At 49.2% G+C, this 13,259-nt stretch overlaps 1 protein-coding gene across 1 annotated transcript in view, besides 6 other annotated features; it reads right to left on the bottom strand.

Annotated features, from left to right (window-relative positions):
* Positions 1–7,856, bottom strand: part of ZNF444 (zinc finger protein 444) — a 28,341-nt gene extending 20,485 nt beyond the window's left edge. The window contains exon 1 of the mRNA XM_024451575.2: positions 7,631–7,856. The gene's annotated coding sequence lies outside the window, so the exon portion shown is untranslated. The remainder of the gene's footprint in view (positions 1–7,630) is intronic.
* Positions 7,884–8,053: an enhancer, noted in NCBI's record as "experimental_51899 CRE fragment used in MPRA reporter constructs". NCBI's record gives its function as "activates a minimal promoter by MPRAs in K562 erythroleukemia cells, with activity observed for both the introgressed and non-introgressed 19:56643810 variant alleles {active_cell/tissue: K562}" and the evidence as "EXISTENCE:reporter gene assay evidence [ECO:0000049][PMID:34662402]".
* Positions 10,577–11,077: an enhancer, noted in NCBI's record as "H3K4me1 hESC enhancer chr19:56640701-56641201 (GRCh37/hg19 assembly coordinates)". NCBI's record gives its function as "activates a minimal SCP1, AML or CMV promoter by ChIP-STARR-seq in primed H9 embryonic stem cells {active_cell/tissue: H9 hESC(primed)}" and the evidence as "EXISTENCE:reporter gene assay evidence [ECO:0000049][PMID:30033119]".
* Positions 11,078–11,578: an enhancer, noted in NCBI's record as "H3K4me1 hESC enhancer chr19:56640200-56640700 (GRCh37/hg19 assembly coordinates)". NCBI's record gives its function as "activates a minimal SCP1, AML or CMV promoter by ChIP-STARR-seq in primed H9 embryonic stem cells {active_cell/tissue: H9 hESC(primed)}" and the evidence as "EXISTENCE:reporter gene assay evidence [ECO:0000049][PMID:30033119]".
* Positions 11,078–11,615: a biological region, named in NCBI's record as "H3K4me1 hESC enhancer GRCh37_chr19:56640200-56640700".
* Positions 11,446–11,615: an enhancer, noted in NCBI's record as "experimental_51876 CRE fragment used in MPRA reporter constructs". NCBI's record gives its function as "activates a minimal promoter by MPRAs in K562 erythroleukemia cells, with activity observed for both the introgressed and non-introgressed 19:56640248 variant alleles {active_cell/tissue: K562}" and the evidence as "EXISTENCE:reporter gene assay evidence [ECO:0000049][PMID:34662402]".
* Positions 12,849–13,018: an enhancer, noted in NCBI's record as "experimental_51865 CRE fragment used in MPRA reporter constructs". NCBI's record gives its function as "activates a minimal promoter by MPRAs in K562 erythroleukemia cells, with activity observed for both the introgressed and non-introgressed 19:56638845 variant alleles {active_cell/tissue: K562}" and the evidence as "EXISTENCE:reporter gene assay evidence [ECO:0000049][PMID:34662402]".

Genomic DNA, 13,259 nt, shown 5'->3' with positions numbered 1-13,259 from the left:
TTTCTGCATCTCAGAACTGTGAAGAAGCATATTTGGATTTTAGAGCAGACAGACATCCTAAGAGATCAGCTGAAGTTTTTATCTAGACAGTTCCAGACCTGATTATGGCTCATACAAGCCCTACCCCAGCCCGCAGCGTATTTCCTCCTCCGTACAACAAGGATAAGAGAATCCCCCTCCCATCCTCCACCTCCCCGGCTGATCTGAAGACTCCGCGCCATAAAAACGAAGACAGTGGCTTACCCATAACAAGCATTCATTACATGGAAGTTGTTCGTCTTATATTCATAAATGAACAACTTTCCCCAGGTTTCACAAGCGATGAGTGGCTGACTCAGAACTTTGTGACCAGTTTGCCCACGGTGGCCTAATCTGCCCTGGCCCACCTGTCTACCACTGTCTTCTCCTCGTGTTTAATGAGTTCCAGTCATGCCTCCTTTCTGCTCCTAGAGCACGCTGATCTTCTTCCCACTCATATCCGATGGCCTACTTGACATCTCCTCTTGGATTTCTTAATAGGCATCTCAAACCTAAGGTGGGCAGTAGATAATTTTTCACTCTCTCCCCCACCTTGCGAAGAAATTTGTTCCTTCCCATTACTCCACCATCTTAGAAAGCAAGTCCATCTTCACCCAAATGTTGAGGCCAAAAATAGAAAAGCAGCCCTTGATTCTTTTTTCTTTTTTTTTTTTTGGTTTTTTGTTTTGTTTTGTTTTGTTTTTTGATACAGGGTCTGGCTGTGTTGCCCAGGCTGGAGTGCAGTGGTGCGATCACAGCTCACTGCAACCTCCGACTCCCAGTCTCAAGTGATTCTCATGCTGCATCCTCCTGAGTAGCCAGGACTACAGGCGTGCACCACCATGCCCAGCTAATTTTTGTATTTTTAATAGAGATGGGGTTTGCCATGTTGGCCAGGCTGGTCTCGAACTCCTGGCCTCAAGTGATCTGCCTCCTCGGCCTCCCAAAATGCTGTGATTGCAAGCGTGAACCACCATGCCCAGCCAATTCCTCTTTTTCATCACCATCCACATGCAATCTATCATCAGGTCCTATTGGCTCTGTCTTCAAAATAGATGCAGAATCTGTCCACAGCTCTCCCGTCTATGGCTACCACCTGGTTTAAGTCCCCATGGCCTCTTTAGACACTGTCATGCTTCCACTCTCGCCTCTTCTGCCTCCTGCCCCTCAGTTCCTGCTCCACACAGCGCCAAAGGGATCTTTTTTTTTTAATTGTGGTAAAATATATACAAGATAAAAATTACCATCTTAATCATTTTTAAGGTACAGTTCAGTAGCATTAAGTACATTCAAGCTAGGCCGGGTGTGGTGGCTCACGCCTGTAATCCCAGCACTTTGGGAGACCGAGGCGTGCGGATCAGAAGTTAGGAGTTCGAGACCACCCTGGCCAACATGGTGAAACCCCGTCTCTACTAAAAATACAAAAATTAGCTGGGCATGGTGGCGGGCACCTGTAATCCCAGCTACTCGGGAGGGTGAGGCCAGAGAATCTCTTGAACCTGGAAGGTGGAGGTTGCAGTGAGCTAAGATTGCACCGCTGCACTTCAGTCCGGGCAACAGAGTCAGACTCTGTCTCAAAAAAAAAAAAAAAAAAAAAAGTACATTCAAGCTGTGCAATCATCACTACTGTCCATTTCCCGAATTTTTCATCTTCCCAAATTGAAATTGTACCCATTAAATGTGAACCACCCATTCCTCTCTCCCCCGAGCTCCTGGCCAACCACCATTCTGTTATCAGTTTCTGTAATTTATTTATTTGAGACAGGGTCTGAATCTGTTGGCCAGACTGGAGTCCAGTGGCTCAGTCTTGGCTCACTGTGACTTCTGCTTCCCAGGCTCAAGGGATTCTCCCACATTGGCCTCCCGAGTAGCTGAGACTACAGGTGCACACAACCACGCCCAGCTAATTTTTTTTTTTCTTTTTTTTGTAGGGACAGCGTTTTGCCATGTTACCCAGGCTGGGTTTAAACTCCTGGTCTCAAGTGATCCACCTGCCTCAGCCTCCCAAAGTGTTGGGATTACAGGTGTGAGCCACCATGCCCAGCCCAGTTTCTGTGATTTTGACCACATTAATACTTCATGTAAGTGGAATCATACCGTATTTGTTTTTTGTGACTGACTTATTTAACTTGGCAGAATGTCCTCAAGGTTAATCCATGTTGTAGTGTATGTCAAAATCTCCTTCCTTTTAAAGATTGCCTAATATTCTGTTGCATACACAGACCATATTTTGTTTACCCATTTATCAGAGGAATTTTGTTTTTTAAGATGGAGTTTTCCTTCTCGTCACCCAGGCTGGAGTGCAATGGTTCCATCTCAGCTCACTGCAACCTCCACCTCGAGGGTTCAAGCGATTCTCCTACCTCAGCCTCCTAAGTAGCTGGGATTACAGGCGCCCGCCACCACACCCAGCTAATTTTTTTGTAATTTTAATAGAGACGGGGTTTCACCATGTTGGCCAGGCTGGTCACAAACTCCTGACCTCAGGTCATCCACCCGCCTCGGCCTCCCAAAGTGCTGGGATTACAGGCGTGAGCCACCGAAACTGGTCCCAGAGGGATCTTATTTAAACTTAAATAGGGTCATGTCACTTTTGCTTAAAACCCTCCATTGCAAACCCTTGTCGCTAGCCTGCACAGTCCCACATGATGTGCCTTCAGACCCAGAGCTCCTTTAGCTTATAGAGTGCCTTTGTGTGTGTTAGAAAAGCATGGCCCTCAGAAGCACTGCAGAACTGAGCCGGGGCACACAGCTTGGCAGGCAGATCCGGAGGAATATTCCAGCCACCTCTTCCTGGTTGGCCAGGTGCCTGCATGTCATATACAGGGTTCACACAGGCTCTCGATCCAACACCGTTTCCTTCTTCATCACTATGTTTCAACTCATTGGCCACTTTTTTTTTCTTTTTCTTTTTCTTTTTTGAGGCTGAGTCTCGCTCTGTCACCCAGGCTGGAGTGTAGTAGCTTGATCTTGGCTCATTGCAACCCCCTTCTCCCAGGCTTAAGCGATTCTTCCACCTCAGACTCCTGAATAGTTGGGACAACAGGCACCCACCACCACACCAGTTAATTTTTGTATTTTTAATAGAGACGGGGTTTTGCCATGTTGGCCAGGCTGGTCTCAAACTCCTGACCTCAGGTAATCCGCCCGCCTCGGCCTCCCAAAGTGCTGGGATGACAGGCGTGAGCCACCGCGCCAGGCCTCATGGGTCACTCTTTTAAGTTCCTCTAACACAGCAGTTCTCAAAGTGTAGTCCCCAGACCAGCTGCACAACATCACCTGGGAGCTTGTTAGAAATGCAGATTCTCGGCTGGGCACAGTGGCTCACGCCTGTAATCCCAGCACTTTGGGAGGCCGAGGCAGGTGGATTACCTGAGGTCGGGAGCTTGAGACCAGCCTGACCAACATGGAGAAACCCCATCTCCACTAAAAATACAAAAAAATTAGCTGGGTGTAGTGGTGCATCCCTGTAATCCCAGCTACTAAGGAGGCTGAGGCGGGAGAATCACTTGAACCGGGAGGCAGAGGTTGCGGTGAGCCAAGATCGTGCCATTGCACTCCAGCCTGGGCAACAAGAGTGAAACTCCGTCTAAAAAAAGAAAAAAAGAAATGCAGATTCTCGGTCTCTGCCTCAGACTGAATCAGCAACTCTAGCAGGGGGCCCAGCGATTTACTTCAACAAGGCCTCCAGGGGATGCAAAGGCGCACTCCTATGCATCGGTACCTTCTACCTGCACTCTAGAATAGTCGCCGCTTCACAGGGTGCTTGGGAGGATTCATGAGTTAATACACGCAAAGCACTCGGAAGGCTACCTGGCAGGGAGTACGAGTTCAATAAACACTTGCTATTCTTACTTAACTCCAGTGGAGTCGCTGATAAAAGCAAGCCCAGCTCAAATGCAAAGTTGACTCTTCCCTCCCTCCCCACATCCGTGCAACAAAAACAGCTTGTTTCACTACTGGCTATTGTCTGCTCAGCATTTGTTCACTTCATACAAACTGGACACCTATAATGAGACAGATGAAATGTTGTATGGGCACAAAGGATCCGAGGGTGGACAGAGTACACAGAATCAGTGTCCAGCCAGAGTTGAGGGCCTAGCACAGTGGGTGAGGGCAGGGCTCCAAACCCACCCAACATGCCCCAGCCGAGAGAGCCTGGGGATCTCAGCTCATCGGCGTCTTCACTTGAATGGAGGTCATAACACACTCAGAGAGTTGGGATTGGGGGTGAGCGTGGTTAATAAGGGCCCAAGGGCCCAATAAGGAGCGGGTCCTTTTTTTTTAGCTTTTTTTTTTTTTTTTTTTTGAGACGGAATCTCGCTCTGTCACCCAGGCTGGAGTGCAGTGGTGAGATCTTGGCTCACTGCAACCTCTGTCTCCTGGGTTGAAGCGATTCTCCTGCCTCAGCCTCCCAAGTGGCTGGGATTACAGGCACGCACCACCACACCCGGCTAATATTTTTTGTATTTTTAGTAGAGACGGGGTTTCACCATGTTGGCCAGGCTGGTCGATCTTCTGATCTCAAGTGAGGCCCACCCACCTCAGCCTCCCGAAGTGCTGGGATTACCAGTGTGAGCCACCCTGCCTGACCAGGAGCAGGTCCTTATTGGTGTAAGCCAATTTTGCTGTGCCCCTTCTCCTTGCCAGCAATTGGTTGACGCTCACATATGTGACACTATTCTGGCTAATGAAACCTGAAGGCAGATTTGCTGGGGCACTGCTGGGAAAGGTTTTCCCAACTCTTAAGCAACTGATAAGCAGGAAGAAACAGTTGCCCTGGAGCCCTGCCCTGTCTGCAGGTGACACTTCAAGCTGTGGCAGCCACCTGGGTACCATGAGGGCTGGTAGTGGGAGCTCCTCACTTAGGATGGAAGGGAGGTGAGACGGAGGAACCTGGATCCTTCATGGCATGGTTTGGCAGCTGAATTTTAACCAACCGTGGCTGGACCTGCCCTACCTCCAGGCTTCTCTTGGCATGAAGTAGTAAGTCCCCTCAAGCCATTTTGAGTCAAGTTGTCTGTTGTTGAAGCCAAAAGTGACAGCAAGTCACACATATCCGGGGCCAGCTTCATGGGATGCAACCTGTGTGGTTGCAGGCTGCCCTGCACTTGGTTGAATGCCCAGCTGTGGCTATCTTGACATTTTTTTCTTTTTTTTGAGACAGAGTCTCGCCCTGTCACCCAGGCTGGAGTGCAGTGGCGCGATCTCGGCTCACAGCAAGCTCCACCTCCTGGGTTCATGCCATTCTCCTGCCTCAGCCTCCCCAGTAGCTGGGACTACAGGCGCCTGCCACCATGCCTGGCTGATTTTTTGTATTTTTAGTAGAGACGGGGTTTCACCGTGTTAGCCAGGATGGTCTCGATCTCCTGACCTCGTGATCCACCCACCTCGGCCTCCCAAAGTGCTGGGATTACAGGCATGAGGCACCGTGCCCGGCCTGACATTTTTTTTTTTTAAAGAAATAAGGTCTCACAAACTCCTGGCCTCACGAGATCCTCCTGCGTCAGCCTCCTGAGTAGCTGGGATTACAGCTACCACACCCAGCTTGAAATTCTTAATACTTTTTTTTTTTTTAAACACAGGGCTCTGCATTTTAATTTTGTCCTGGGTCCTGTTTACATAAATATCACCTTGACGATCTGTGCAATGTTGGCACACCAGCGTTTAGGACAGGTCCTAATGTATGGTAAGTGGGCCATAAATCTTGGTGAGGAATGAAATGAAGGAACGACTTCCTGGAAATGTCCTTCCTCCACTTCTTCATCTGGTAACATCATATAATACTCTGTGATCAGACGTCCCCTCCTCCAGGAAGCCTTCCCAGACCACCCCCACACCTGTAAGTCTGGACCAAGTGCCTCACTGGAGCTTCCGCAGAGCCCCCTCTTTCTCCATTTCATATACTATTTTTGGGTGACTGCTCCGCCCACCTCATGCTGAGCGACTCAGCAACAGAGACCAACCCTCCTTGCCTGCTGTACCCAGCTCCTGGCTTGGGGCCTGCCTGTGAATGAGTAAATAAGAGTGAAGGCAAGTGGTTCTTACCCTGCTTCCCAGGCCTGAGGGCGAGAATTCCTTTGACAGCAAATTTAGCTCATACCTTCTAGCTTCTCGGCTCCTTTGTAGCTCTGCTATAATTATTACCCCAAATAATAATTAAGGTTTTTCTCTTTGTATGGTGCTTTGAAGCACTAAGATCCCCCAGGGCAGGGATGGGGTTTGGTTCATCTCTGGAGGCTCGGGTTGGGTTTATGGGTGAGTGGATGATGGACGCATGAGTGAGCTGAGTGAGCGTGTGAGGGGGAGAACCAGCAGAAAGGGGAAGAACCAGCAGAAGGGGGGATGGCGTATGGATGTCAGTCTGTGTCTAGCAGTGCAGGCTCCCAGGGGGCTGGATCTGAACCTGAGTCATCTTTGGCTTCCCAGGCAACAGGAAACGTTTGAGAAAGGATAATGAAATTAATGAACGAATTGCTTAATGATGGATCACATTGCCCATTATCTGACTTCCCCCTCATGCTCCCCCGGCGAGGCAGCAGAGCTCATCAGGAATCACCCCATTTTTTTTTTTTTTTGAGATGGAGTCTTGCTCTGTCGCCCAGGCTGGAGTGCAGTGGCGCGATCTTGGCTCACTGCAAGCTCCGCCTTCCGGGTTCACGCCATTCTCCTGCCTCAGCCTCCCGAGTAGCTGGGACTACAGGTGCCCGCCACCACGCCCGGCTAATTTTTTTGTATTTTTAGTAGAGACGGGGTTTCACCATGTTAGCCAGGATGGTCTTGATCTCCTGACCTTGTGATCCACCCATCTCGGCCTCCCGAAGTGCTGGGATTACAGGCGTGAGCCATCGCGCCCGGCCTGAGAATCACCCCATTTTACGGTTGGGATAATCGAGGCTCAGTGGAGCAGGTGTACTTTCCCAGGTGACACAGCAAGAGACCCGGGTTTTAAGGCCAGCAGCAGGTGTCCTGAGTCTCTCTCACAGATGAGGAAACTGAGGCTCAAGAAGGGCATTCTAGCCAGGTGCGGTGGCTCATGCCTGTGATCCCAGCACTTTGGGAGGCTGAGGTGGGTGGATCACCTGAGGTCAGGAGTTTGAGACCAGTCTAGCCAACATGGTGAAACCAAGTCTCTACTAAAAATACAAAAATTAGCCGGGCATGGTGGTGTGCGCCTGTAATCCCAACACTTTGGGAGGCCGAGGTGGGTGGATCACCTGAGGTCAGGAGTTTGAGACCAGTCTGGCCAACATGGTGAAACCACATCTCTACTAAAAATACAAAAATAAGCCGGGCATGGTGGCCCATGCCTGTAATCCCAGCTACTTGGGAGGCTGAGGCAGAAGAATTGCTTGAACCTAAGAGGTGGAGGTTGCAGTGAGCCAAGATCGCACCACTGCACTCCAGCCTGGGCAACAGTGTGAGACTCTGTCTCAAAAAAAAAAAAAAAAAAAAGAAAGAAAGAAAGAAAGAAAAAGAAAAAAAAGAAGGGCATTCTGAGGTGTCCACCCAGCTCCGGCAGCAGGTTTTCCACCGGCCAGATATATCCTCTTCCTTAGATGTTCAGAGAGTGAGCAGGGCCTACAGGAGGAGCGAGTCAAGCTCACCTTACCCTCACTGCCAAGGCAGAGAAGAATTCCTTGGAAATTCTTCCCAACTGTATCTCGCAATGTCTGGCAGGAATGAACGCGGCTTCTCAGAGGTTGATACTGTGGCTTCCGTCTCGCCCCCACTTCCAGCCCTTTACTCTCTGGAGAGAAATCTCTCCGGTTGGAGATTGAAGCTGCATTTCCCAGACCTCTGGAGAGCTAGAGTTCTGGGCTGAACTGGGCTTTGCTAATTAAGTGCACTCGAGTAAGATGCGGAAAGCCGATCAAGGGCCAAAAGAACCACTGGCAGTGAGGTTTATTTATCTTGGTTCAGCAAGGGAGGACGCATTCCAGGGGATCCCTGTACAAAGAGTCAGAAGAGGCCTTTCAGAGCGTTAGGGCTTGTGCTAGAGGGCTCTGCCGGGGGTTGGGGGAAGTGGAGAGCAGTTCTAATGAAGGCTTAAGAAGCCGGGCAATGCACTGATTGGATTCCTCCATAATTTTTTTTTTTTTTTTTTTGAGACAGTCTTGCTCTGTCGCCCAGGCTGGAGTGCAGTGGCGCGATCTTGGCTCACTGCAACCTCAGCCTCTCAGGTACAAGGGATTCTCATGCCTCAGCCTCCTGAGTAGCTGGAATTATAGACACAGGCCACCATGCCCAGCTAATTTTTGTATGTTTAGTAGAGACAGGATTTCGCAATGTTGGCCAAGCTAGTCTCGAACTCCTGGCCTCTTGTGATCCACCCGCCTTGGCCTCCCATAAGTGCTGGGATTACAGGTGTGAGCCACCGCACCCGGCTTCAATTTTTTTTCTAATTACAGAGATAGGGTCTTGTTATGTTGCCCAAGCTGATCTTGAACTCCTGGCCTCAAGTGATCCTCCTGCTTCAGCCTCCCAAGTGGCTGGGATTACAGGCGTGAGCGACCATGCCCAGCTCTTCTCTTTAATTTTTGCCCTGAAGGCAGGAAGATAGCGCAGGGTTGCGTTTTCAATGGTAAGGAAGTAGCAGTAAAGAATGTGATGTTGTCAGAGGAAGGAAGGTGTTGAATTTTTTGCTGTTGTGGTGTGACTCTTTGTACAGAACACAATTTTTTTTTTTTTTGAGAACGAGTCTCGCTCTGTCACTCAGGCTGGAGTGCAATGGCCCCATCTTGGCTCACTGCAACCTCCACCTCCCAGGCTCAAGCGATTCTCCTGCCTCAGCCTCCTGAGTAGCTGGGATTACAGGCGCCCGCCACCACGCCTGGCTAATTTTTGTATTTTATTAGAGACGGGGTTTCACCATGTTGGCCAGGCTGGTCTTGAACTCCTGACCTTGTGATCCACCCGCCTCGGCCTCCCAAAGTGCTGGGATTACAGGCGTGAGCCACCACGCCCAGCCCACAACCCTATTCTTGCTTGCTTGGAACATCATGACTTGGCTGCCAGCAGGGCCCATTTTCATTCCCCCGCTTCTCTTGCCCCTCTTGCACTGTTCCTCCTGGCAAGTATAACAGTGGAATATGAGGTGTCTCCACGGCAGGCAGTCAGGGCCATTCTCTGACTTCCCGGACCTCAGGTGGCAGCTTTTGGCCCCTGGATCACAGCTCTGGGGATATGTTCTGGAACTCAGAGCTACAGATGAGTCCTCAAAGGCGGTGGCTCCTTGCTGGGACAGTTCCGTGTGGTTCTCTGAGTTATCGCAGGAGGCTCAGCCCATTCAATAATTTTGTGAACATTTAATTCCCTACATTAAACCCTTTGGTAGATAAAATACCTGGCGTGGGGTCTATTTACCTGTTTCCTCTCTCGAACCCAGACTGAGACACTTCTCCATTCCACTTTAGACAATCGCCATAATGGTAATAACTACTCACGGTTGTGAGCACTTCTTATGTGTCTGAGCACTGGGTTTAGCGGCTTCATGCATCTCATTTAGCACTGGCCACACCTGTGAGGTGTTTGCCCTAACAGGGTCAGACAATATAGGGTACATTATCCAAAGAGTCATCTTCCGGCCAGGCGTGATGGCCCATGCCTGTAATCCCAGCACTTTGGGAGGCCAAGGCAGGCAGATCACCTGAGGTCAGGAGTTCGAGGCCAGCCTGGCCAACATGGTGAAACCCCGTCTCCACTAAAAATACAAAAATTAGCCAGGTGTGGTGGTGCACACGTGTAATCCCAGCTACTCAGGAGGCTGAGGCAGGAGAATTGCTTGAACACTGGAGGCGGAGGTTGCAGTGAGCCAAGATCGCACCACTGCATTCCAGCCTGGGCGACAGAGCGGGACTCCATCTCAAAACAAAAACAAAAACAAAAACAAAAAACAAAAAGTCATCATCTGATTGCTGCCAGGAATGAAGTTATCACAGCAGTAAAAACATCCACTGGTGAGACCCACAAAGTGCAAATGTCCCCTCTTTATAACTGTGCTGTGAAAGTCACATCGGGGAAACTGTACAAATCCGCACCTCATTCATGTTTTGATTTTTCTAAGAATCGGGGCATACATTCATCACTGCAGTTGTTGCTTACATTTTGTTAAATATACAACAAAATCAACCAGGAGTCGATTCTCAGCATTCCTGGTAATTCTGTCAAGCCACCATGAACATCTCATCAGGGAACACTGAATCAACGCTCCTAGGGAAACACTGCGTTGGCTTCCTGTGAGCCTCTGGCCACATGTTTGTCAACACAAGCCTTATTTTACGTATGTTTTTATTTAAACATATCTTTGTTGATACATTGTTTTCTGTTTTTTTTTTTGTTTCATTTTGTTTTTTGTTTTGTTTTGTTTTTTGAGATGGAGTCTCACTCTGTTGCCCAGGCTGGAGTGCAGTGGCGCAGTCTCAGCTCACTGCAACCTCCACCTCCTGGGTTCAAGCAATTCTCTGCGCCAGCCTCCCGAGTAGCTGGGATAACAGGTGCTCGCCACCACACCCGGCTAATTTTTTTGTATTTTTAGTAGAGATGGGGTTTCACCATCTTGGCCAGGCTAGTCTTGAACTCCTGACCTCGTGATCCACCCACCTTGGCTTCCCAAAGTGCTGGGATTACAGGCATGAGCCACTGCACCCGGCTCAGCCTGTATTTTCTTAAAATGATGTGTTTTTTTGTTGTTGTTTCATTTGTCGAGAATCCCAAACAAACATGGAAATAACTGTCTTGCATAAATATAAAATACGGGCTGCTGTATTAAGTGCTCTTTTCCCAGTGCCAGTTACTCTGGGACATTGAGGACCTCCTGTGCTATTTCTGGCCATTCCACAGAGGATCGGAGGGGTCCAAAGCCTGTCTCTCTCTCCTCACCACACTGCACAGCCTTCAGGAGACGGGGCTGAGAATTATGGCCCAGGCTGTCTGACCTTCACGAAGACTGGTGCCACTTCTCCAAGCAGCCCCTTTGGATAGGCAGGGGTCTGTGAGCTCTAACCAGCAACCTCGGCCAGGCACAGTGGCTCACGCCTGTAATCCCAGCACTTTGGGAGGCCGAGGCGGGCGGATCACGAGGTCAGGAGATCGAGACCATCCTGGCTAACACGGTGAAACCCCATCTCTACTAAAAATACAAAAAATTAGCCGGACGTGGTGGCGGGCGCCTGCAGTCCCAGCTACTCAGGAGGCTGAGGCAGGAGAATGGTGTGAACCCGGGAGGCGGAGCTTGCAGTGAGCCGAGAACGCGCCACTGCACTCCAGCCTGGGTGACAGAGCGAGACTCCATCTCGAAAAATAAAATAAAATAAAATAAAATAAAATAAAATAAAATAAAATAAAATAAAATAAAATAACCAGCAGCCTCAGACATTTTACTGTGTGCAATAATGTCAGGAAAAACTGTCCCGGATAAATAAACTCCTGTAGCAACAAGAAGAAACCAGGTGGAAGTGTTCCTCAAAACCGCTTGGAATTTATACTGAACTTTTATAGCACTGGGAACAACCCACCACCTGGAGAGAAAGTTTAACAGGTTTTACGATTTATTTAAGAGCTCTCGTTAATTTTTCATCTCATTTTGTCTTTACCACAGAAGGATTCGCTTGAAATGAACTGATGCCTAAAGGGTCATAATATATTTTTCTCATTAAATGAAAATAAGCTTTATAGTTAAGGAGGTCTTTGGGTGTTTGGATTGGTCAATGTTTTTCGCCTTGGCATCACGAGTTTTAGAGGACAGGCTGAGTGCAGTGGCTCACACCTGTAATCCCAGCACTTTGGGAGGCTGAGGCAGGTGGATCATGAGGTCAGGAGTTCGAGGCCAGCCTGGCCAACATGTTGAAACCCAGTCTCTACTAAAAATACAAAAATTAGCTGGGTGTGGTGGCGGACTCCTGTAATCCCAGCTACTCGGGGGGCTGAGGCGGGAGAATCACTTGAAACTGGGAGGGGGACGTTGCGGTGAGCGGAGATCACACCACTGCCCTCCAACCTGGGGGAAAGAGTAAAACTCGGTCTCAAAAAAAAAAAAAAAGTTTTACAGGACAAAGTGCAATGGATGGACAATTCCATTTAAGTTGAGGATTTATTCTTTAATAAATGTATTTGGAAATGCATTTCAGTGAGATAAACATTTGATGATTATTATCATTATTATTTTTGAAACAGGGTCTTGCTCTGTCACCAAGGCTGGAGTGCAGTGGCACCACCATGGCTCACTGCAGCCTCAACCTCCTGGGCTCAAGCAATCCTCCTGTCTCAGCCTCCTGAATAGCTGGGACCTCAGGCTTGCGCCACCACACCTAATTTTTTTTTGTAGAGATGGAGTCTTGCTATGTTGCCTAGGCTGGTCTCCAACTCATGGCCTCAAGTGATCCTCCTGCCTTGGCCTCCCAAAGTGCTGGGATTACAGATGTGAGCCACCACGCCCAGCCAACATTTCATTCTTAGAGAAGAAATGCATATTTATGCATTCGTATATCCTCTTGGAAGCATGTACACACATTTACATATGTGTCTATCTTCCATTTCCAGCACCTACCCTATGAGATTCATGTGAGGGTTAAATGCGATATGGTAATTGAAGCTGGAGAAATTTGGGTTATCTTATTCTCTGGACAGTGGTGAACACAGCATGAGGGAATGCCTGTGGCTACCTGGACCCTTCCTCCAGACCTCTTATTTTGGCTCTGGGCACCCACCCTTGTCTGCAGTCACTGTACCCAGTCTGTCCTGAAGGGAGAATAGAGCACCCCTTCCGTCCTCTCCTTCCACGTGCTTTATGAGAGCTGGTTCCGCCCTGCTCCAGGAGTGGACATGTGACTCTGGACTGGCCAATCAGAACTCCCACCCCTGCCCGGCCCCTGTGATTGGTTCAGGTGAGCCAATCAGATTCAGGGAAATAATAGCAGGGTGAGGAAGTGAGGGTGGCCTTGGCCTTGCAGTGGCCTTTATTCCCCACAGTGGAGGGATGGAAACCAAAGAGGTCCGCGAAGCCCAGACAGCGGGCCAGGCCTGGGGCCCCTGTGCTCCCGGATCCAACCAACCACGCCCCAAGGTGTCCAGCTTCAGCTTCTGGTGTTTATTGCTGCTGTTTCTTTTCAGTTACCCAAGCCAATAAAGTTTTCTTTCTCTTTTTTTAACCTCCAATCCGTTTGAGCTGCATTTGTCTCATGCAACCTGAAACGTGCCACCGCTGCAATCATCACGTCCCACATCCTGCCATCCAGAATTCC

This window comes from Homo sapiens, chromosome 19 (genome assembly GCF_000001405.40).
Source record: "Homo sapiens chromosome 19, GRCh38.p14 Primary Assembly".
Classification (NCBI taxonomy): Eukaryota; Metazoa; Chordata; class Mammalia; order Primates; family Hominidae; genus Homo; species Homo sapiens.
The sequence above is the reverse complement of the archived record's forward strand: the minus strand, read 5'-3'. Positions and strand labels throughout refer to the sequence as shown.